The sequence below is a fragment of the Homo sapiens genome, chromosome 15 (genome assembly GCF_000001405.40).
Source record: "Homo sapiens chromosome 15, GRCh38.p14 Primary Assembly".
NCBI classification, from domain to species: Eukaryota; Metazoa; Chordata; class Mammalia; order Primates; family Hominidae; genus Homo; species Homo sapiens.
In genome coordinates this window covers 22,757,356-22,780,045 of record NC_000015.10, presented here as the reverse complement: position 1 = coordinate 22,780,045, position 22,690 = coordinate 22,757,356, and the positions used below count along the sequence as shown (strand labels likewise).

Below are 22,690 nucleotides of genomic sequence, written 5' to 3'. Positions count from 1 at the left end.
AGGTGGGAGAGGGGAGGAATTGGGGACATGGAGGCCAAAGGACACAAAGTAGCAGGTATGAAGGATGAACAAGTCTAGAGATGTAATGTATGACATGAGGACTGCAGGGAACAAAATTGTTATGCATGTGAAATTCATGCTAAATGAGTAGATTTCAACTGCTCTTGCCACAAAAGCAACAAGGAAATGGGGAACTATGTGAAATGATTGGTGTGTTAATTTCTTTCAGTATAGGAATCTTTTTACAATCTATATATAACTCTTAGCATCATGTTGTAAGCCTTAAATATACACAATAAGATTTATTTTTAAAAAAGAAAAATTGAGAGTCAAAGAACTGACAAAGCAAAGACTAAGTAAATAAAAACAGGGGTAACTATATTTATATCTGTTAATCAAAAAATGAGTGACTGACTGAGGCAAGTGCCTCCATCAACAGAGCTTTGTTCAGCCAAAATTTGATGATACCCCCAGAAAAAACACAAGCCAGAGAAACGCCTGTGACCTGTGCTTTCCAAAGAGGGTTTTGGGAACTCAGTACATAAGGGGAGAAGGCGTGCAGGAGAGAAGAAAGGGAGGGGGAGCAGGCAGTGAAGCGGTGGTTACATTCTTAGGAAGCTCTAATTAGTGCTCAGTAAATCTTCATTTTACATAAGATAAGGTAAACATCTGAAAAGAGGAAGGAAAGAGTCAATTATGCAGCCATCTCAGGGTAGGTGGAAGAGTGATTGATCTCATGTTCTTGTTCTGTACCTGGGAAGATAGGCCTGTAATCAACATTGTCAGTGTCAGATTGAATAGAACTCAGTTTTACATCTTGAACTGAGGTTGCAGAGCCACGGTTACAATGGGCATATGCTTATTTTATAGGGGGACATGGATCCTGAAAGATTCAGGGGCCAGTAAAGAACATCCCTGTGAGCGATTTGTGAGGGAGGCCATATGGAGAGGTACGTGGCCTTTTGTGGTAGTGGGGACCTGGCTTATGTCTAATGCCATCACACAGGGTTGTGAAATGGCAGCTATCTCTTTGGGGAGAAAGAATGGTAGTGTTGCATGACTCAGCTCCCAAACTTAACGTCTCCCTTAGCATAACAGGTTTGGTGGTTCCAAGACTTTATTTTCTCTTACATATTAAAAAAAACTCTTAACGAAAGAGCTATGTGAGAGATAAAGTGGGTATTTCCTCATGATAAAAGGGTGCAACCAGAAGGGAGAAAAAGGAATTCTAAATGTGTTTATGCCTGGTAACTTAACCTTAAAACACACAGAACAAGCTTAACAAATGAAAAAAAAGAAATAAGTTGATGATCATTGTGGGAAACTTTAATATCTGTGTCTCAGCCACTGAAAAATAAACAAACATCAGTAAGCACATAGAATCTTTAAAGGATGCATTTAACACACTGGACCTAACTGAGATACGTGGTACACTACGCTCAACATGCAGAATACATATCCTTTTCAAGTGCAGAAGCAATATTTATAAAAATTAATCATATTTTCAATCATTGAGAAGACACAAATTCCACAGAGTTTTAGTTATACAAATATTTAATCACAGTGGAACTATAAGTTTGGAAATTAAGCAAAACATTTTCAGTATGGTAAAGGGATGAATAAAATCAAAGTTTGCTTTTTTGAAACACTAATAAAATTGATGGCCTCCAGCAAGATTGATTAACAAAACAGACAAAAGGCACAAACTCTAACCGGAGACTTTATAAGTATTAAAAAGATAAATGAATAATAGAATAACTTTGAAATTTTCGATAAAATGAACAAATTGATTCAGCAAACACAGGTTACCAAAATGAATATTTATATATATGTAATTGAACCTGTAGTTAAACACCTTATAAAGAAAACTACAGTCTCACATGGCTTAATAAGTGAATTCTTTCCAAATGCTTAAGGAAGAAATAGCACACATCTTACATAAACTCTGTCAGAAATAGGAGAAGAAACATTTTCCAAATTGTCTAACCAGCATAGCTTTAATACTTCATATTAAAACCTCACAAGTCTGGGCGTGGTGGCTCAAGCCTGTAATCCCAGCACTTTGGGAGGCCGAGGCGGGTGGATCACGAGGTCAGGAGATCGAGACCATCCTGGCTAACAAGGTGAAACCCCGTCTCTACTAAAAAATACAATAAATTAGCCAGGTGTGGTGTTGGGCGCCTGTAGTCCCAGCTACTCAGGAGGCTGAAGCAGGAGAATGGCATGAACCCAGAAGGTGGAGCTTGCAATGAGTTGAGATCACGCCACTGCATTCCAGCCTGGATAACAGAGCCAGACTCCATGGCAAAAACAAACAAACAAACAAACAAACAAACGAACAAAAATCACCAGAAAAAAAAAAATTAGACTCCACTTTCTCTTGTGAACATAAGTACAAAACTACCAAATGAACTAGGAGCAAGCCCATCTCAACCATACATAATATGGTATTAATCATTTATCACAACAAAGTTGATTTAATTCCAGAAATGCAATGTTCAACATTCAAAAGCCAATCACTGTTAAGTTACCTTATCAACATAAAAAGATAAGAAAAAACATTGCTCAATCAAGAAAGAAAAAAGCAATTGATACAATTCAGTACCTATTCATAAATCTTAAAACCTGTCTAACAGAGAGGAAGCAACATGTGAGTTAAACACTCCCCCAGCTGAGAATAGTGACATAACTTATTTGCAGCCAAAAGATGAAAATTGCAGGCCAGGCGCGGTGGCTCACGCCTCTAATCCTAGCACTTTGGGAGGCAGAGGCGGGCGGATCACAAGGTCTGGAGTTCAAAACCAGCCTGGCCAACATGGTGAAATCTCGTCTCTACTAAAAATACAAAAAGAAATGAGCCGGGCGTGGTGTCATGCGCCTGTATTCCTAGCTATTAGGGAGGCTGAGGCAGGAGAATCGCTTGAACCATGGAGGCGGACATTGTGACAGTGAGCCGAGATTGTGCCACTGTACTCCAGCCTGGCAACAGAGCAAGACTGCGTTTCAAAAAAAAAAAAAAAAAAGGAATGAAAATTGAATTGCAGTATAATCTTACAACTTTTGAGAAATCTATGTTTTTCAGCTAAAAAGAGAGAAACTCAGCCTTCTGACCTTTCTTCTTTCCCTCCTTGGAAGGCAATCCAAGGCCTGGAAAAACAGCAGCCATATTTTAACCACAAGAATAAAAACCTGGCTAAGAAAGTATCAGGAAACTGAAAAGAACCCTGGACTGCCTTCCTCTGAACATTTTAAGTGACAAAAATGAAATCTATATTTCTTTAAGTCACTGAATCAGATTTATTCTTTCTGTGGCTACATGTAGCCCTAAATGATGTATTAAATACTAAAATAAATACTAAAATACACACTAAAATACTAAAATTTTGGTCTTGACTCCTGATCTCAGGTGATATGCCCATCTCAGCCTACCAACGTGCTGGGATTACAGGCATGAGCCACCACGCCCACCTCAAAAGCTTTGTGTTTTTAAATATATTAGACATGTCTCTAGTTTAAAAAAAAAAAACTTAACAATAATGTAGGAGAATAAGAGAAACTTTTTCCAAAAAAGAGAAATCACTGTGATTATTTTATCTTATTGGAATGTTGGATAATATAATCTGCTTTACTAATCATTAAACACGCTGTAAATTTTCCATTACAACAGGATTTGTACCTCAATTAAGGTGATAAAGTTTTAAAGTTTAGAAAGTGAAAGCCAGCCCCGCCTCTCTCCCAGAGTGGGCGGGGACAGCAGTTGCATGGGCAGCTTTCCTTGTGACATCACAGGACCTTCATGACACGCAGCTGCCTGGCCCCGCCTCCTTTCCCTTTCATCTTTCTCATTGACCAATGGGCTTGGATCATTAAGGCCACGCCCCTTTTCTGCATTCTAGTGAGACCCTGGTGACACCTCCTGTGGCTCAGTCACATAGCTGCGTGGTACGTGACTGGAGGCATATCACTGTCCTCGCCTGGATCACGCCAATGTGGCCCCAACCCCACCTCCCTCCCCACCCCATGATGTCAGAAAAAACCTGACACAGAAAATTGGCTGGGGCCAAGAGAAAGGTAAAATGCATCGGATTGCAGCACCCCAACCCCAACCCAGCCCCAGGTCCCCTCTGATGGCAGAACAGCTGCCAGAATCCGTGTCACTCCAGAGGCACACAGGGCTGGGCCCCCCCAGTGCCTCTGGGCTCCCCCAACCAAAATCTTGTGTCAGCCCCAACCCCTCAGCAGTCCGGCCGCTGCCCTCACCGGTCACCCCAGGGTGACTTTCAGCCGGTGACTCGTGGGGCTCCCTGCTTGGTACTCTGCCCTCACCTCCTATTGTCCAAAAACGGATCTCCCTGGGCCCTTCGGGCTCACGTTTCCAAGGAACTGGATGCCCCAGCACCTGCCCTCACCAGTCACCCCAGGGTGACTTTGGGCAGGTGACTCCTGGGGCTCCCCACTCCATACTCAGCCCTCACCTACCACTGCCCCAAGCCTGACTTCCCTGGGCTCTTTGGGCTCACGTCTCCAAGTACCTGGGTCCCAACCCTGTGACCCCACGCCAATCTCAAAGAGGCAACTTGGGCGCAGCACTGATGGGAGAATGGGTTTGGTTTGGTTTTCTCCCAGGCTTCTACTCTCCAGAGAGACTTTAACAGTTTTTTCTAAGTTATCCACCTCATATTTGAATTCTCCATGGTTCTGGGACCAGAGTGCCCATCAGTCAGTGATCTTTGAAGTGAGATTTGCTCATCTTCTGTGCAAGAGATCTTGGGAAACTGGACTTGACAACTTGAATCTTCCTCATCTCATCTCAACCTGGGGTACTTTGAGTGCCACAGGATACAGATGGGGCATCTTTCTGAAGCATCAGTTTCCCTTGATTCTCGTGGGAGAGACAAAACATTAATGTTCTTAGGGATGATAGGCACATAGATTTCAAAGAGTATACAAGACTTCTCTCTGAAATGCAGCTTGGGTTGTCCTCTTTCTGTTTAATTCCCACATTTAACAGAAAGGCTGCCTTCTGCCCTGAGGATACATAACTCTAAGAGGATGTACGACTGTAAACCACACAGTGTACACCTTCCTGCCTACTTTTTACTTTCCTACCTCTGCCTCTGGTTTTGGTCTCTGGCAGCTGCTGATTTGTGGCAACACCCCAGAGCTCAGAGTCAGAAGACTGAGTTTCAGTTCCATTATTGCCTTTCTTTTAGCCATGGTATCAATCCCTCTCAGTCACTAAGTGATTGCGACAACACCTCGTACAGTCGTTGGTGGCATTAAATCAGATCGTCTATGAGAGTATTTTGTATAAACTGTAAAGTGACTGTAGGAGCTTGTAGTTCTCATGAGTATCACTGCTCCTCTTTTCCACAGTTCACAGACTATCGTCAGTGGAACATTGCTGGTGTTGGTACCGGAGCAACCGACACCAAAAAGAAGAAAATAAATCATGGCACTAACCCTGAGACAACCACTTCGGGGGGCTGCCACTCGCCTGAGGATGTGAGTCTTGGCTGGCCGGTCTCCTGAGGACAAGGGGCACAAGGGGGAGGTCGAGGGTAACTGTTAAGATTGTGGAAGGAAGAACTGCCGGGTACTGGCTAAGAATTCTGGGTTTGAGTCCTACTTCTCTCTCCATCTGCGAGGGACACGGTTTAGGGAAAATTGCTCGAGTTCTTTGGGCCTCTCTTTTCACACCTGTAAAATGGGGATGGTAATGTTTTACTTACATGTGTGAAGCTTAAATCAGATTTGTTGCTGTTGTTTTTGTGTTAATCCCTAGTCCAGGGCCTGCTGTAAGCTCCCCTCCTCTTTGGGCTTCCGTTTCCTGAGGAGGTAGAGTTAGAGTATCAGAGGGTTCTGTTTGCTCTGAGAGTCTGAGATTTAAAGATTCACTAGAATGGAAACCTTGGGGCCAAGGGCTCCTGTCTGCCTTTTCCGTCCTATATCCCAGCTGTGAAGAACTGTCCCCGGCCCCTATGTGCTTGCTCAATGCTTGTTGAATGAACACATCTTTCTCCATCACAAGCTGGCAGAAGGGTGGGCTTTTCTCACACTCTTATGTCGGAAGGTTTATGTTACTGTCTTTTCCAGAGAATCTAGTTTCAGACTTTCAGTTCTGTGGCTGTGGGCAAAAACCAACAAAGACCCAAATCCTTTTTCTTTGGGCGTTAAGGCAAGTTGACCAGTTTGTGTTCCCATTGGGTCTGAGAACTTTGCCCTTAAAATCCATTCCTGACCCCTGCGTACCGCTTCCTGGCCTGGGCAATAGAGTCGAGGGGCCACCCTCAGTCACCTTCCTTTGACTCTCCCCACAGAAACAACAGAACGGAGCTCAGCTGAAAGAGGTAACATGGTTTCTTTCTTTGCTCACGACATGACCGCTGGGTTTGGGGGGCACTCAGATGTAGAGGCCCCAGTCTCGTCTCGCCTACTCCCAGCCTGGGGAGGAAGGCTCACCTCCCAGCTTCCACCCCATCCCCACAGGGTCCCTGATAACCTGGTCCCATGGGTGGGCCTGTCCTGGGACAGTGGTGCCATGCTGGGGGCATGTCTCTTGCTGTGCCATCTCTGCCTCCCTCTAGTAAGAGCTCTGTCTTCCTCTTCTTTTCTATAGGAAAAGAAGGCAAGCCACCAACATCAGCAAGCCCTAAGGAGGCAGCTAGAGGTGAGTGGAGGGTGTGAAGTTCCCTCCTGTCCTCTGGAGAAGGTTTCTTTGCTTCTCTTTCAGCACTTGCTTTTCTTGTCTCCCAAAGGCCCAGGATCATACCATACGAATCCTTATGTGTCAGAAAACTGAACTGGAGACAGCGCTCCATGACAGCCAGGATGCTGCCAGGAAATTTGAAGGTGGGAATCTGGGCACCCCGTCACCCTTCAACCTGGCACTTTCACAGGCCTTTGGGCTGCAGCTCAACCTCTCTCATTCCAGAAGATTCCAAGGATCTGGCAGGCTGCCTGCATCATTCCTGGCACTTTGCAGGAGAGTTACAGCGGGCTCTCTCTGCTATGTCCGCAGAGCACAAGAGGGCGGACAGGGTGAGTCCAACCACTTACCGGGTCCCCTGGGAGCCCAGCTTCGCAGATGGAGGAATGAGCCTAAAGGTCCCTTCTGCAGAATGCAGTGTCCTGCCCAGAAGACAGCATGGGCCATTTCTTGCTGCTTTTGTGCGTGGTTGTTAGAGGCAGGTTGGGGCTGAGTCAGCTGCTGTGGGTGAGTTGCGGGGCGCTGTGGGGAGCGAGCACTGGACACAGAGCTCGGAGGCCAAGTGCCCACCCCACCCATACTTGGCTGTGGCCTTGGTCAAATCCTAGGTGGAGTTGAGGGTACTTGTACCATGAAGGTACAGAAGAGTATCTTTAGTATGTTACCATTTGTGTAGAGAGAGGGAACACATGTACGTGGGTGTGTGTGTGTGTGTGTGTGTGTACGTACGTATTATGGTAATATACATAAAACATGTTTGTAAGGATTCATAAAAAACTCAGGAGAGAGGAACAGTGTTGGGGGAAGATATTTCCCTTCTGTACCTTCTGAGGTTTGGACTATGCCAATGTATCATTCTTTCAAAAATCAACAAAGGATTAATTTCCTCCTCCTTATCTGTGCCCCTACCCCCAACCAAAAGAATGGGTTTAGAGAATCAGATATACCTGGGTGTTGAAATCCCAGCTCTAAGTGATCTTAGGCAAGCACTTAACCTTTAATACCCCATGTTCTTCATCTACACAATAGAGGTGATAATGATAACTGTCTCCTGTGGTGGCTGTGAGGATTAAATGGGATTGTTAGCATAGTGCCTGGTGAAGCACTCAAGAAAGGTTCCAACAGTGGTAGTAATAACAGTAATAACAATAGCAATATTATCTGATCGCTCTGGGCCCGTTAGCCAGCTATCAATTCAGTCTCTTTCCCTGTGCCTTCCACCCTTACTGAGTTCTCTGAAAAACAAGTGAGAGCCAGGTGCAGTGGCACATGCCTGTAATCCCAGCTACTTAGGAGGCTGAGGCAGAAGAATCGCTTGAAGCCGGGAGGCGGAGGTTGCGGTGGGGTGAGATCGCGCCATTGCACTCCAGCCTGGGCAACAAGAGCGAAACTCCATCTCAAAAAAAAAAAAAAAAAAAGAAAGGAAAAACAAATGAGACCATGGGTTTGGAAACGCCTTGAGAACATGTCGGGTGTGACTGAGAGGGAGCAAGTGTTACTGTGGAGTATCAGTGTAGCTGTCGTTACTGGTCGTCCAGCTGCTCCTCTGCCTGCTGTATCCTGACTTGACCTTTCTCTATTTGCAGTACATCGAGGAGTTAACAAAGGAGAGGGAAGCCATGAGTCTGGAACTGTACAGGAACACGTAGGATGGGGGAAGGTGGGATGGGAGGTCTGGGGGCCCTTAGCGTGGGTGGTGTGCTGGGAGGTGGGGGGTACAGGTGAGCATGGTAGGGGGTCATACAGGTTTACATGTGTGTGCAGGGAAGCTCCAGTGACGGCTGTGCCACTGACTCATGGGGTAGCCTCAGGCAACTCATGTCTTCTCTCTGGCCTGCCACCTGGGACTTTTAATTCCTGGGGTCCCTTCCAATGCCACGGTTCTGTGGTTGTGGGGCGAGGGTAGAGGGTCGATCACCAAAGCGGTCCTTTCTGTTCTTCGTTCATTCCTTTCTCTACTGCCTCCGGCCATAGCATAACCAATGAGGAGCTGAAGGAGAAAAATGCCGAACTACAAGAAGAACTTCAACTGGTAGAAACTGAAAAGTCTGAGATCCAGCTCCACATCAAGGAGCTAAAAAGGAAACTGGAGACGGACAAAATCCCGCTGCCACAGGTGAGCGGCTGCAGCCCCGGGGGTGTGGGAGCCGCATCCGGCTGGGACATGGTCTAGGGATCATGCAGGGTGTGGGGAGGCTCCAGCCAAGAGCTGGAAAATTTGAGTCCTTGTTCTGGTCCCACCATAGAATCCTCTAGAGTGTGCTAAAAATCTACAATTTGGGACCATGCCTGGGAAATCAGAACCTCAGGGTTAGGGCTTAAAATTTCTTTTTAAAGAATCATAGACGAAAACCGTTATTTTATAGATTACATTTATATACCTAGCTTATGACTCTATTTCCTTTTGAGGTTCAAACCAACACTTTGCAGGAGAAGATGTGGAGGCAGAAGGAGGAGCTACAGGATCAGGAGAAGCTACGGAAGCACAAGGAGAAGATGTGGTGACAGGAGCAGAGGCTGCGGGACCAGGAGAAGGAGCTGTGGGAGCAGGAGCAGCAAATGCAGGAGCAGGAGCAGCAGATGCGGGAGCAGGAGGAGCAGATGCGGGAGCAGGAGGGGCAGGTGCGGGAGCAGGAGGGGCAGGTGCGGGAGCAGGAGGGGCAGGTGCGGGAGCAGGAGGGGCAGGTGCGGGAGCAGGAGGGGCAGGTGCGGGAGCAGGAGGGGCAGGTGCGGGAGCAGGAGGGGCAGGTGCGGGAGCAGGAGGGGCAGGTGCGGGAGCAGGAGGGGCAGGTGCGGGAGCAGGAGGGGCAGGTGCGGGAGCAGGAGGGGCAGGTGCGGGAGCAGGAGGGGCAGGTGCGGGAGCAGGAGGGGCAGGTGCGGGAGCAGGAGGGGCAGGTGCGGGAGCAGGAGGGGCAGGTGCGGGAGCAGGAGGGGCAGGTGCGGGAGCAGGAGGGGCAGGTGCGGGAGCAGGAGGGGCAGGTGCGGGAGCAGGAGGGGCAGGTGCGGGAGCAGGAGGGGCAGGTGCGGGAGCAGGAGGGGCAGGTGCGGGAGCAGGAGGGGCAGGTGCGGGAGCAGGAGGGGCAGGTGCGGGAGCAGGAGGGGCAGGTGCGGGAGCAGGAGGGGCAGGTGCGGGAGCAGGAGGGGCAGATGGGGGAGCAGGAGGGGCAGATGGGGGAGCAGGAGGAGCAGATGGGGGAGCAGGAGGAGCAGATGCAGGAGCAGGAGGAGCAGATGGGGGAGCAGAAGGAGCAGATGCGGAAGCAGGAGGAGCAAATGGGGGAGCAGGAGGAGCAGGTGCAGAAGCAGGAGGAGCAGGTGCAAAAGCAGGAGGAGCAGATGCGGAAGCAGGAGGAGCAGATGCGGGAGCAGGAGGAGCAGATGCGGGAGCAGGAGGAGCAGATGCTGAAGCAGAAGGAGCAGACAGAGCAGGAGGAGCAGACGGGGGAGCAGGAGGAGCAGATGCGGGAGCAGGAGGAGCAGATGCGGGAGCAGGAGGAGCAGATGCGGGAGCAGGAGGAGCAGATGGGGAAGCAGGAGGAACAGATGTGGGAGCAGAAGGAGCAAATGTGGGAGCAGAAGGAGCAGATGCGGAAGCAGGAGGAGCAAATGGGGGAGCAGGAGGAGCAGATGCAGAAGCAGGAGGAGCAGGTGCGAAAGCAGGAGGAGCAGGTGCGAAAGCAGGAGGAGCAGATGCGGAAGCAGGAGGAGCAGATGCGGAAGCAGGAGGAGCAGATGCGGAAGCAGGAGGAGCAGATGCGGAAGCAGGAGGAGCAAATGGGGGAGCAGGAGGAGCAAATGGGGGAGCAGGAGGAGCAAATGGGGGAGCAGAAGGAGCAGATGCGGAAGCAAGAGGAGCAGATGGGGGAGCAGAAGGAGCAGATGCGGAAGCAGGAGGAGCAGATGCGGAAGCAGGAGGAGCAGATGCGGAAGCAGGAGGAGCAGATGCGGAAGCAGGAGGAGCAGATGCGGAAGCAGGAGGAGCAGATGGGGGAGCAGGAGGAGCAGGTGCGGGAGCAGGAGGAGCAGATGGGGGAGCAGGAGGAGCAGATGCGGAAGCAGGAGAAGCAGATGCTGAAGCAGAAGGAGCAGATGGGGGAGCAGGAGGAGCAGATGGGGGAGCAGGAGGAGCAGATGCGGAAGCAGGAGGAGCAGATGCAGAAGCAGGAGGAGCAAATGGGGGAGCAGAAGGAGCAGATGCGGAAGCAGGAGGAGCAAATGGGGGAGCAGGAGGAGCAAATGGGGGAGCAGGAGGAGCAGATGCGGAAGCAGGAGGAGCAGGTGCAAAAGCAGGAGGAGCAGATGCGGAAGCAGGAGGAGCAGATGGAGCAGGAGGAGCAGGTGCGGGAGCAAGAGGAGCAGGTGGGGGAGCAGGAGGAGCAGATGAGGGAGCAGGAGGAGCAGATGGGGGAGCAGGAGGAGCAGATGCAGAAGCAGGAGGAGCAGATGGGGGAGAAGGAGGAGCAGATGGGGGAGCAGGAGGAGCAGATGGGGGAGCAGGAGGAGCAGATGCGGAAGCAGGAGGAGCAGATGGGGGAGCAGGAGGAGCAGATGCTGAAGCAGGAGGAGCAGATGCTGAAGCAGGAGGAGCAGATGCGGAAGCAGGAGGAGCAGATGCGGAAGCAGGAGGAGCAGATGGGGGAGCAGGAGGAGCAGATGGGGGAGCAGGAGGAGCAGATGCGGAAGCAGGAGGAGCAGATGGGGGAGCAGGAGGAGCAGATGCTGAAGCAGGAGGAGCAGATGCGGAAGCAGGAGGAGCAGATGCGGAAGCAGGAGGAGCAGGTGGGGGAGCAGGAGGAGCAGATGCGGGAGCAGGAGGAGCAGATGCGGAAGCAGGAGGAGCAGATGGGGGAGCAGGAGGAGCAGATGAGGAAGCAGGAGGAGCAGATGGGGGAGCAGGAGGAGCAGATGGGGAAGCAGGAGGAGCAGATGGGGGAGCAGGAGGAGCAGATGGGGGAGCAGGAGGAGCAGATGTGGGAGCAGGAGGAGCAGATGCGGAAGCAGGAGGAGCAGATGGGGGAGCAGGAGGAGCAGATGAGGAATCAGGAGGAGCAGATGGGGGAGGAGGAGGAGCAGATGCGGAAGCAGGAGGAGCAGATGGGGGAGCAGGAGGAGCAGATGAGGAAGCAGGAGGAGCAGATGGGGGAGCAGGAGGAGCAGATGCGGAAGCAGGTCGAGAGGCTGCGATTCAAGGAGGAGAGGCTGTGGGATGAGTATGAGAAGATGCAGGAGGAGGAGGAGAAGATCCGGGGGCAGGTGGAGAAGATGGGGGAGAAGAAGGAGAGGATGGGAGAGCAGGAGGAGAAGATGCAGGAGGAGCGGTGCTCAGAGCCCTGCCTCCCTCCCTCCAAATATCCTTGTGATATGAGCCACCCTGGCAGCCTGGAGCCTGCACGAGAAGCCGGGAAGGGTTATTCCCATGACCACCACACTGCACAGCAGATCATGCAGCTGCCCCCTGGAATGAAGAACGCCCAGGAGCGCCCAGGCTTAGGCAGCACCTCCTGCATCCCATTCTTCTACCGAGGAGACAAGAAAAAGATCAAGATCATCAATATCTAAAAAGAACGGTCAACAAGGCCTACAGAAGTGTAAGCCGCCATGTGACCTTGTGAATATAGTCTGAGAACAAACTTGAAAAAAAGAAAATGTATTTTAAATTGTGGCAAAATACTGGCCGGGCACGGTGGCCTGCACCTGTAATCACACCACTTTGGGAGGCCTAGGCAGGTGGATCACCAATCCCAGCTACGTGGGAGGTTGAGGTTGCAGTGAGCCGAGATCACACCACTGCACTCCAGTCTGGGTGACAGAGTGAAACTCCCATTTCAAAAAAAAAAAAAAATTTTTCTACCTGAGGACTCTAATATCTATGTATGTTTCTATTGTTTTTTTTGTTTGTTTTCTCCTTTCGTCTTGTGTTGTCTTGTCTTATGGCATGCCTAGTAAAGTTTTATGTGTCTCCAGAGAGTATTGACTTTGACTTTATGGCACACAATTGGCGTTCAAGCAGATCGCTTTCATCTAGTTTGGGACTAAGCTGGCTCAAAGCAGGTTTTAGTTTTTGTGACAGCTGGTCTATTTTTTATTCTTTTGGACTCTTAGGGGTGGCCCTTCCAGGATCCCCACCAAGGTCTCATCTCCTTACTGGGACCCAAATTCTCATTATGTCATTTCAGCCCTGTGAGAGTGCCAAACATTCAGCTAGGCTCTCCAGCCTCTTAACTATCACTTCATACTCAGTTTCTTAGCCTCTTAGCCCTCTACTGTTGACCAATCACCAAATGTGGGAAAAGCACTAAGGACTGTCAGGATCACCTCCTAGGCCTGGTCACTCAAGTCCTGGCTGAGGTCCCCAATTACCTTCCAACAATTGTTTTTGATGGTGGGGGGAAGGGGGGACACATTTTTGTCCAGTTTTTCTAACTGTTCCTGTGGGGAGGCTAGTCTATAACAAGCTACTCTGCCTTTAATGAATGTTGAAAACCCTTTTTTTTTTTTTTTGAGATGGAGTCTCACTCTGTTGCCCAGGCTCTAGTGCAGTGGTACAATCTCTGCTCACTGTAACCTCCACCTCCTGGGTTCAAGCAATTCTCCTGCCTCAGCCTCCCAAGTAGCTGGGATTACACGCGTATGCCACCACCCCTGGCTAATTTTTATATTTTTAGTAGAGACGGGATTTCACCATGTTGTCCAGGCTGGTCTCGAGCTCCTGACTCATGTGATCTACCCGCCTCGGCCTCCCCAAGTGCTGGGATTACAGGCGTGTGCCACTGCATCCAGCCCATCTGTCTTTTTATAAATGTTTCTAATTTGAGGTATAATTCCTATTCCGTGAAATGCACAGATCTGGTTTACATTTTGATGACTTTTAACAAATGCATTACCCATGTAACCCACCTCCTTTGAAGATATGGAACATTTATCATCCAGAAAGTTCTCCTGTGCTTTCATCCTGTCCGGCACTCCCCCAGCAGCTGATGAACATGCTGAGGACATTTGTACAGGATTCTGGCCTCCCCAAAAGAGCTGCTTTGACAAGCCTGCTTGCCTTACCCAGCACTAAATCCCTTCCTGTTCTCTCAAAATTTCCATCTTTAAACTGCTTGTACCTATAACCCTCCCACATCAAATCCATAGATAAACCAGCCCACAGCCTAATATTTACTGTATACCCAAGCTTTCAGAAATACGACTCCCAGGAGTGGGGACTGGTGGCTGCATCCCCTCCTCCTCCTGGAAGCCTCTACCAGCCTACAGAGCCCACAGAGTAGATCTCACCAGGCAGCCTGAGCCTGAAAGTGCCGTGGAGCCTCCTGCTGGTTCACCCTCACTATGGTGGCAGCTGCACGGGAGCAGCTGGGCTCACTCATTAAGCAAGAAGACATTGGCTTGATGCTGACACTCCAACCCCAGCCTGGGTGAGCCTGGCTGAAAGGCCCCTTCCTTCTGGTCAGACTGTGGGGAGACGCGGCAGAGCATACACACTCTACTGCCCTCCTCATGCTTCAGCTGTGCTTCCTTCTTAACAGAGGGAGCCGCTCATGGATTTGGCCAAAGCCTTCCTGAGGGCTGAAGGTTTGACAGGCTGGGTGTGTAGGGGCCACCGTGCTAGAGAGAGAGACTGGTGTGTCAGAAGGCAGCCACCTGGCCAGAGGGGGGTCAACCCCCTTGGTAACCTCCTTCCCCCAGCTGGACACAGAGCCCTGTACTCTCCACATGTGACTGCTCCCCTCAGAGCTGCCACCAGAAGAGGGGTTCTAACCCTGTGGGTGGGGACATTGTGTTACTTTACAGTGGGCCATGGCTCCCTCTGACATCTCCAACTCAGAGGCAGTAGAGAGAAGATGAGAAATTCCCTGCGCCTCTAGTCCTAGCTACTTGAGAGGCTGAGGCAAGAAGGTCACTGGAGCCCAGGAGCTCAAGGCTGCAGTGAGCTATGATTACATCAACGCATTCCAGCCTGAGTGACAGAGTGAGACCCAATCTCAAAAACAACAATAATAAGTTAAACATAAATCTAACTACCACATTATTGGCCAGGTGCGGTGGCTCACACCTGTAATCCCAGCAATTTGGGAGGCTGAGGCGGGTGGATCACGAGGTCAGGAGATGGAGACCATCATGGCTAACACGGTGAAACCCAGTCTCTACTAAAAATACAAAAAAATTAGCCAGGCATGGTGGCGGGCGCCTGTAGTCCCAGCTACTCAGGAAGCTGAGGCAGGAGAATTGCGTGAACCCGAGAGGCGGAGCTTGCTGTGAGCTGAGATGGCGCCACTGCACCCCAGCCTGGGCGACAGAGCGAGATGCCATCTCAAAAAAAATAAATATGTAAGCATTCCACATTATTGACCAATTCCACTCCTAGGTATAGCCACAAAGAATTAAAAGCAGACACTCAAGACACTCGTAAACCAGTGTTCATAGCAGCATTACTCACAACAGTCAAGAGATGAAAGCAACCTGATTGCCCACTGAAGGGATAACATGTGGCTTACATATATAATGGAATAGCATTGAGCCTTTAAAAGAAAATTTTGACACATGCGGATGAACCCCAAACACCTAGGAAGTTCAATAACCCAGTCACAAAAGGACAAATACTGTATGATTCCCCTTATAGGAGACACCTTGAGTAGTCAAATTCTGAGACAAAAGTAGAATGGTGGTTGCCTGGGGACAGAAGGAGTTAGTGTTTCATGGATACGGAGTTTCAGTTGGAGAAAGGGCAAAAGTTGTAGAGATGGATGGTGGTGATGGCTGGGCAATAATGTGAATATACTTAATGCCAATGAACTGTACACATAAAAATGATTAAAATGGCAAGTTTTAAGGTATGTATATTTTACCACAATATTTAAATTTTTTTAATTACATTTTTTTAAATTGTTACCAAAAAATACGAATAATCCATCCAAGTTATTTAGAAAAGGAGCGTCAGATCAAGCTTTCCAAAATGCCAAAACTCAGAAGATTACCTGGTTGCTTGACCCACACCCAGGTCTCCAGAATTGACTTGGCCCTATATACAGGTGCAGGAGTTTCGTCTTCATCTTTTTTCTCTTTGTCATTCAGATCTTCTTTCTTTGTTCCACTTGGTTCGACACTATCATCTGCAGAATTAAAAAATTTTTTAATCTGTCACCGCTTTTCAGAATGTCATACCATTAGTCTCTGCAAATGTCCCTCCCCGAAAAGTTACAACACACATCATTAACTGAATGGCATGCGGTATCCCCCACCCCAGGGCTGTGAGCATGCGTGACTAATAAACTGCTATTTCATCTGTCCAGTGTCGGTGTCCTACGTTCAGCCATCCCATATCCCTAGGGCAGGAATCTTCTAGGGTTATAAACAGAACTTTAATCAACCTCTCCTTGGTTATTTTACTGGTTCCATGATACAGCTTTTTCTGTGCAAAAGATCTGAACAGAAACTTCACAGAGGATACAAGAGTGGCAAAGAAGAACACGATATTCAGCATTCTTAGCCATTACGGAAGTGCAAATTAAAACCACAATGAGATCCCACTAGACTTGTTAGAATGGCTCAACTAAAAAACACTGATAACACCAAGTGCTAACAAAGACACAGAGCAACAGAAACGTGACAGATTGCCAGTGGGAATGCAAACTAAAACAGCCACTTCGGAAAACAGTTCAGCACATGACCCAACTTTCACACTACTAGGTCTTTATCCTAGGGAAATGGAAACTATATTCACATAAAATCTGTAGAGAAATGCTCACAGTAGGATTACAATTGGGAAAGAAAAATGGAAACAACCACAAGGTCCTACAATGGCAGAATGGATAAACACCATGTGGTACATCCAAATGATGAAATACTAATCAGCAATAAAAACAACTATTAATACATAGAACAGCAGATAAATCTCAAACATATAACTGGGAGTAAATGAAGATGGTTTCAAAACGTTACTTAAAATATGGTTCCACTCACATGACATTCTCAAAAAGAATACCCTATACTGATGGAGAACAGATCAGTGGTTGCCAGGGTATGAGACCAGGGAACACGTGATAAAAAGGAGCAGCACAAGGGAGCTTTCGGGGTGAAGAAAATTCTCCACCCTGATGATGATGGGGGTTACACGAATCTATAGAGGTCAAAATTTACTGAACTACATACCACAATAAAATAAATTTCATATAAGTTTTTTAATAAAAATATGTTGGCTGGGTGGGTGTGGTGGCTCACACCTGTAATCCCAGCACTTTGGGAGGCCGAGGCGGGTGGATCACAAGGTCAGGAGTTCGACACCAGCCTGGCCAACATGGTGAAACCCTGTCTCTACTAAAAATACAAAAATTACCCAGGCTTGGTGGCACGTGCCTGTAATCCCAGCTACTTGGGAGCCTGAGGCAGGAGAATGGCTTGAACCTGGAAGGCGGAGGTTGCAGTGAGCCGAGATCACACCATTGCACTCCAGCCTGGACCACCGAGTGAGACTTCATCTCAGGAAAAAAAAAAAAAAAAAAAGAAGGAAAATATCTAGGTCCAGGGAGAACAGCTGGAATACGGTCTGGTGGAATCATGTCAGAGCAGGGAGCTGGGTCTGGAGGGCTGGAGTAGGGTGCAGCCCCACTCTAGGAAGGAACTAGGAAAGGCATCCTGGGTGAAGCAAGAGCAGAGTCCCGTTCTGCAACAGGTGAGCATTTATCCTGATCTGAGAAACTACATACAAATTTAATACGTCTCACTTAGCCTCTTATTTTCCTTAACAACATGGAAAATGAGAGGACAAACAATTCAGAAGGTTAAGACATGAAATACATTTAATTCAGAAATCATACACAGAAAGGTAGGAAATGAATGGGGGAAAAAAGCAGCTAATGGAAAGTGAAAATGGGCCAGATGCGGTGGCTCACGCCTGTAATCCCACCACGTTGGGAGGCCGAGGTGGGTGGATCACTTGAGGTCAGGAGTTTGAGACCGGCCTGGCCAACATGGTGAAACCCGATCTCTACTAAAAATATCAAAATTGGCCTGGCATGGTGGCAGCCACCTGTAATCCCAGCAGCTCGAGAGGCTGAGGCAGGAGAATTGCTTGAACCTGGGAGGCAGAGGTTGCAGTGAGCTGGAATCTCGCCACTGGACTCCAGCCTGTACAACAGAGTAGGACTCTGTCTCAAAAAAAAAAAAAAAAAGTGAAAATAACCTAACATGTACTATGCAAAGCATCTGGCCTAACAACAATACATTACCCTTTTAAATCTTTACAAACAACCTTGAAGGAGGCAGGCTTTGTTGTCTCCAGTTTACCAAGGTAGACAGACATCTTGGGTCACAGAATACACAGCAGAACCCAGCCAGGAACACAGCTCAGGTGAGAACACAGGTGCTGGCTCTAAATGCCAGACTCTGCCCTACGTGTGTGTATGTGTGTGTGTGTTTGGGGTCACTAACCACAGCCCAGGGGCCAAACCCAGCCCACAGCCTCTTTGTGTATGGTCTGAACGCAGAGAAAGTATTTTATTTTTGTTGTTCTTTTGAGACAGAGTCTTGGCTCATCACAACCTCTGCCTCCCAGGCTCAAGCGATTCTCCCAGGTTCAAGTGATTCTCCTGCCTCAGCCTCCGAGGAGCTGGGATTACAGGCGTGCATCACCATGCCCCGCTAATTTTTTGTTTTTAGTAGAGATGGGGTTTCACCATGCTGGCCAGGCTGGTCTCGAACTCCTGACCTCAGGTGATCCGCCTGCCTCAGCCTCTAAAAGTGCTGGGATTACAGGTGTGAGCCACCATGCCCGGCCACTGTATTTTATATTTTTTAATAATTGAAAAACATTCAAAAGAAAAACAGTATTTTGTGACTTGCAAACATTCGGTGGACTTCATCTTTTGGTGTCCATAAATACACTTTACAGAATGAACGTCCCCTGCCCGCTGACGTGGTATTGTCTGTGGCTACTTTGGCACTAAATCTGCAAGGTCTCATGGCTATGACAGAGACCATAGGGTCCATTGAGACCTTAAAATATTTACTTTCTGGCCCTTTAGAGAAAGTAGGCCACCCCTACCCTACAGCTGGCTATAAATTTTACACATTAAAAAAATGCAACATTCTTAATTTTAAACTCAGTGTACTGGAACACTGCTCATCTCCCTTCTTCAAGATGAAAAGCTTCGACAGTCACCGGGAAGCAGACAAGAACCCTAAGTACACCTCAAGAGTTATTCTCAGGAGCATAAATTACAACACTTTACAACAGCAAAAGCAGGATGAAGTCACTGGAGGCCACGAAAACAACCAAGAGTAATTAGCACCACCAGCTCAAAGACCACACCACAACAACTTCAAAGTTGTCTACTCTTCCTTTCACTACTGTAGGGTTCAAAGTATACATAGAGAAAATCGAACACATACTACCGAAACACATTGCTTATGGAATGCTGGAGAGAAGGGAAGCGAGACCTCCCATTGGCCAGGTGTGGTGGCTCATGCCTGTAATCCCAGCACTTTGAGAGGCCAATGTGGGATGATCACTTGCACCCAGGAGATCAAGACCAGCCTGGCCAACACAGCAAAACCCCATCTCTACTAAAAATACAAAATACGGCTAGGCGTGGTAGCTTACATCTGTAATCCTAGCACTTTGGGAAGCCGAGGTGAGGGGATCACTTGAGGTCAGGAGTTCCAGAGCAGCCTGGCCAACATAGTGATACCCCATCTCTACTAAAAATGTGGCTCAGGCCTGTAATCCCAGCACTTTGGGAGACCGAGGCGGGTGGATCACAAGGTCAGGAATTCGAGACCAATCTAACCAACACGGTGAAACCTCGTCTCTACTAAAAATTCAAAAATTAGCCGGGCATGCTGGCGTGCACCTGTAATCCCAGCTACTCAGGAGGCTGAGGCAGAGGATCGCTTGAACCTGAAAGGGGGAGGGTAGTGGTGGCGGGCACCTGTAATGCCAGCTACTCGGGAGGCTGAGGCAGGAGAACTGCTTGAACCCGGGAGGCAGAGGTTGCAGTGAGCCAAGATCACGCCACTGCACTCCAGCCTGGGCAACAGAGCAAGACCCTGTCTCAGAAAGTAAAATAAAAAATTCATAGTCTTAATAATGGAAAACAAAAACATTTACTGAATGTCAAAACGTCTCCCTAAAAACCCCAATCAGTTGGGTTCTACGTAAAGAACAATTATGCTCTGCTTTCTAACCATGATTTTTAAAAGAACAAAGGACAAAAAAAGTCATCAAATGTGGTCCAGGCACAGTGGCTCACACCTGTAATCCCAGCACTTTGGGAGGCCAAGGAGGGTGGATCATGAGGTCAGGAGTTCAAGACCAGCCTGGCCAATATGGTGAAACTCTGTCTCTACTAAAAACACAAAAATTAGCTGGCCGTGGTGGAGGGCACCTGTAATCCTAGCTACTCTGGAGGCTAAGGCAGAGAACTGCTTGAACCCAGGAGGCGGAGGTTGCAGTGAGCCAAGATCATGCCACTGCACTCCAGCCTGAGAGACAGAGCAAGACTCCCTCTCAAGAGGAAAAAACAAAAACAAAAATTCATGAAATGTAATAAATAAAATATACACTTTGGATTTTTCCATGTACTTAGCTTTTCTAGAGCATCTTTTAGAATTATTGTTTCACAAAAAACACTTTGGGAAACGTTTTAATTTATTAACAAATACTGGAGGGCTAGGAAGAAGAGGTTAAAACTTTTCAAAATATAGAGAATGAATTACTGATACGTGTAAAAAAAAAAAAAAAAAGGTTGCTGACTCCAGTCATGGAAGGCACTGTCATATGGACACTCCTAGCCTCAGCATCTGGAGGTCCGGAAAGGGAAAATTTCAAGTCAGAGAGAATTCTATACATACCATTTATTTGGAACCTTCAGCCCTTAAGATCCCAACATTATGACCTCAGTTTCAACATAATTGTCCTCAGTCCTTGTATTGGTTACAAATACAAAACAAACAGCTCAACTGAACTAACTCTTTTCTCTCCAGAAACACAAACAAAAGACCTCATAAAAGGAGTGAGTTTCTAGCGGCCATAATTACTGCAACTTACTTCTCCAATTTTGCCCTCCACAGTTAACTCAACAGCTCAAAAACTATCAGTAACAAACAACAGTCACCATGATATGGTTAGGAGTGTAGCAGATTTCTCAACCAGTAATAATAATTAAGAAAAAAATTTTGCCTATTAATAAATCTCGTTTCCTGCACTTGCAAGAAACTAATTAAAAGGCAGCCCTGCACGATCTACAAAAACAGCCATGAAGACTGTTACATTTTAAGTTACAGGAAACAAACCTGATCCTCTAATATAGCAAGATACAACTGACTTCCCCTTACATACCCTAAAAAAAAGCCTTACACGAGAAATTTAAACATGGAAGCAGAAATACACCAAGAAAAACACATGTCAAACCCCACCTGTATATCTGTTTTCAACCATTCGGTGTCAAGGCGAGCCTGGGCAGCCAAACACAAAGATTCAGAGGGCATCTTTTCTCCAGCTTCCTCCCAGTTCTCAGGCCTGCAAGTAAACATACATGTTGAAGACCTAACGCTTTTTACTATTTTACAAAGACACTCCGGAAAGGTTTAATGCAGAAAAAAAACAAAAGAGAGAGACAGAGAACAAAAAGATGGGAGAGAAGAGCTGGGGGACCGGAGTGAAGTGCAGAGAGGGAAAGAGGGAACAGATGGAGGGAGAGGGAGGTGGGGAAGGGAAAGCCTCCTTCCAAGGTAGGCAGGGTGTGCCTGGTTTCTCAGGAGGCCAGATCACAATGTCATCCCCCTGCCCTCAAATCCAAAAGGTACACACACACATGACAGAAAGCCCATCGTTTTTTGTTTTGTTTTGAGATGGAGTCTCCCTCTGTCACCCAGTCTTGAGTGCAGTGGCGGAATCTCAGCTCACTGCAAGCTCCACCTCCCGGGTTCACACCATTGTCCTGCCTCAGCCTCCCGAGTAGCTGGGACTGCAGGCGCCCGCCACCACGCCCAGCTAATTTTTTGTATTTTTAGTAGAGACAGGGTTTCGCCGTGTTAGCCAGGATGATCTCCATCTCCTGACCTCGTGATCCGCCCGCCTCGGCCTCCCAAAGTGCTGGGATTACAGGCTTGAGCCACCGCGCCTGGTCAAGAAGCCCACAGTTTGAACGACAAATGACAGCAGCACGAATCTGCCGCTTTACCCTACAGCAGGGCGCCTGCGTGAAACAAATTACTCAAAAGGATCACCTGCAGAAAAACCCACAGCCACCACCACTTAGACATGGAGACAGACCCAAGGCTGCGCCGCGGGCGGTCCGCGCAGGCCCCCCGTTCGGCCGCCCGTCAACCCAGCGCCCGCACCTCCTCCGACGCTGGCAGCCCCGGTGCCCCAGGCCGGGACCTGACGCGCAGGGCCCAGCCGCCTCGCCCCGCTGGCTTGCGGACACAGCCTCCTAGCAGCCGCTGGCTCAGGCGGCGCCAGGGATCCTGACGCCTCTCCCGACCCCCGCCACCCGCGCTTAGGGCCAATCGCAAGGCGGCTCCGTGGGCGCAGCCAATGGGGAAGAGGAGCGCTTCGCCGCTCCTCCGGACTCTCCCGCTTCCTGCAATGCGGTTTATCTTCCTACTTGGGAGCCCACCGGCTGAGGCCAGGGGGCAACCGCAGGTGCCAGAAGGCGGGATTTCCGCGGCACGCACGCACACCCGCACTCCTACGGAAGTCAGTTTCTCACCACCTGAATTATTTGAACTTAGCACCACTAAACGTGGAGCAATCACGTACAGAGTGCTTCCAGACCTCATGTAATAGAAATCACTGACATCATCTATTTTTTTTTTTTTTGAGACAGAGTCTCATTGCGTCGCCGAGACTGGAGTGCAGTGGCATGGTAGCGGCTCACTACAACCTCCACCTCCCCGGTTTAGGTGCCTCAGCCTTCCGAGTAGCTGGGATTACAGGCATCTGCTACCACACCTGGCTAATTTTTGTATTTTCAGTAG

General features: G+C 48.5%; 1 long non-coding RNA gene and 1 pseudogene across 1 annotated transcript, besides 3 other annotated features; one reads left to right on the top strand and one right to left on the bottom strand.

Annotated features, from left to right (window-relative positions):
- Positions 1 to 1,308: 1,308 nt before the first annotated feature.
- LOC283683 (uncharacterized) lies at positions 1,309 to 22,189 on the bottom strand. The gene is made up of 5 exons (NR_040057.1): positions 22,052 to 22,189; positions 21,125 to 21,227; positions 15,688 to 15,822; positions 5,733 to 5,830; positions 1,309 to 2,279 (listed from the first exon to the last, which is right to left on the bottom strand). It is a non-coding gene; the product is annotated as an uncharacterized LOC283683 (long non-coding RNA).
- Positions 3,727 to 4,021: an enhancer, noted in NCBI's record as "tiled region #3977; HepG2 Activating non-DNase unmatched - State 10:DNaseD, and K562 Activating DNase matched - State 1:Tss". NCBI's record gives its function as "activates a minimal TATA promoter and a strong SV40 promoter by Sharpr-MPRA in HepG2 and K562 cells {active_cell/tissue: HepG2 | K562}" and the evidence as "EXISTENCE:reporter gene assay evidence [ECO:0000049][PMID:27701403]".
- Positions 4,021 to 12,412, top strand: LOC729900 (golgin subfamily A member 6-like protein 7; annotated as a pseudogene).
- Positions 13,646 to 14,146: an enhancer, noted in NCBI's record as "H3K4me1 hESC enhancer chr15:23106710-23107210 (GRCh37/hg19 assembly coordinates)". NCBI's record gives its function as "activates a minimal SCP1, AML or CMV promoter by ChIP-STARR-seq in primed H9 embryonic stem cells {active_cell/tissue: H9 hESC(primed)}" and the evidence as "EXISTENCE:reporter gene assay evidence [ECO:0000049][PMID:30033119]".
- Positions 21,938 to 22,167: a silencer, noted in NCBI's record as "silent region_6258". NCBI's record gives its function as "represses an Ori minimal core promoter by ATAC-STARR-seq in GM12878 lymphoblastoid cells {active_cell/tissue: GM12878}" and the evidence as "EXISTENCE:reporter gene assay evidence [ECO:0000049][PMID:35858748]".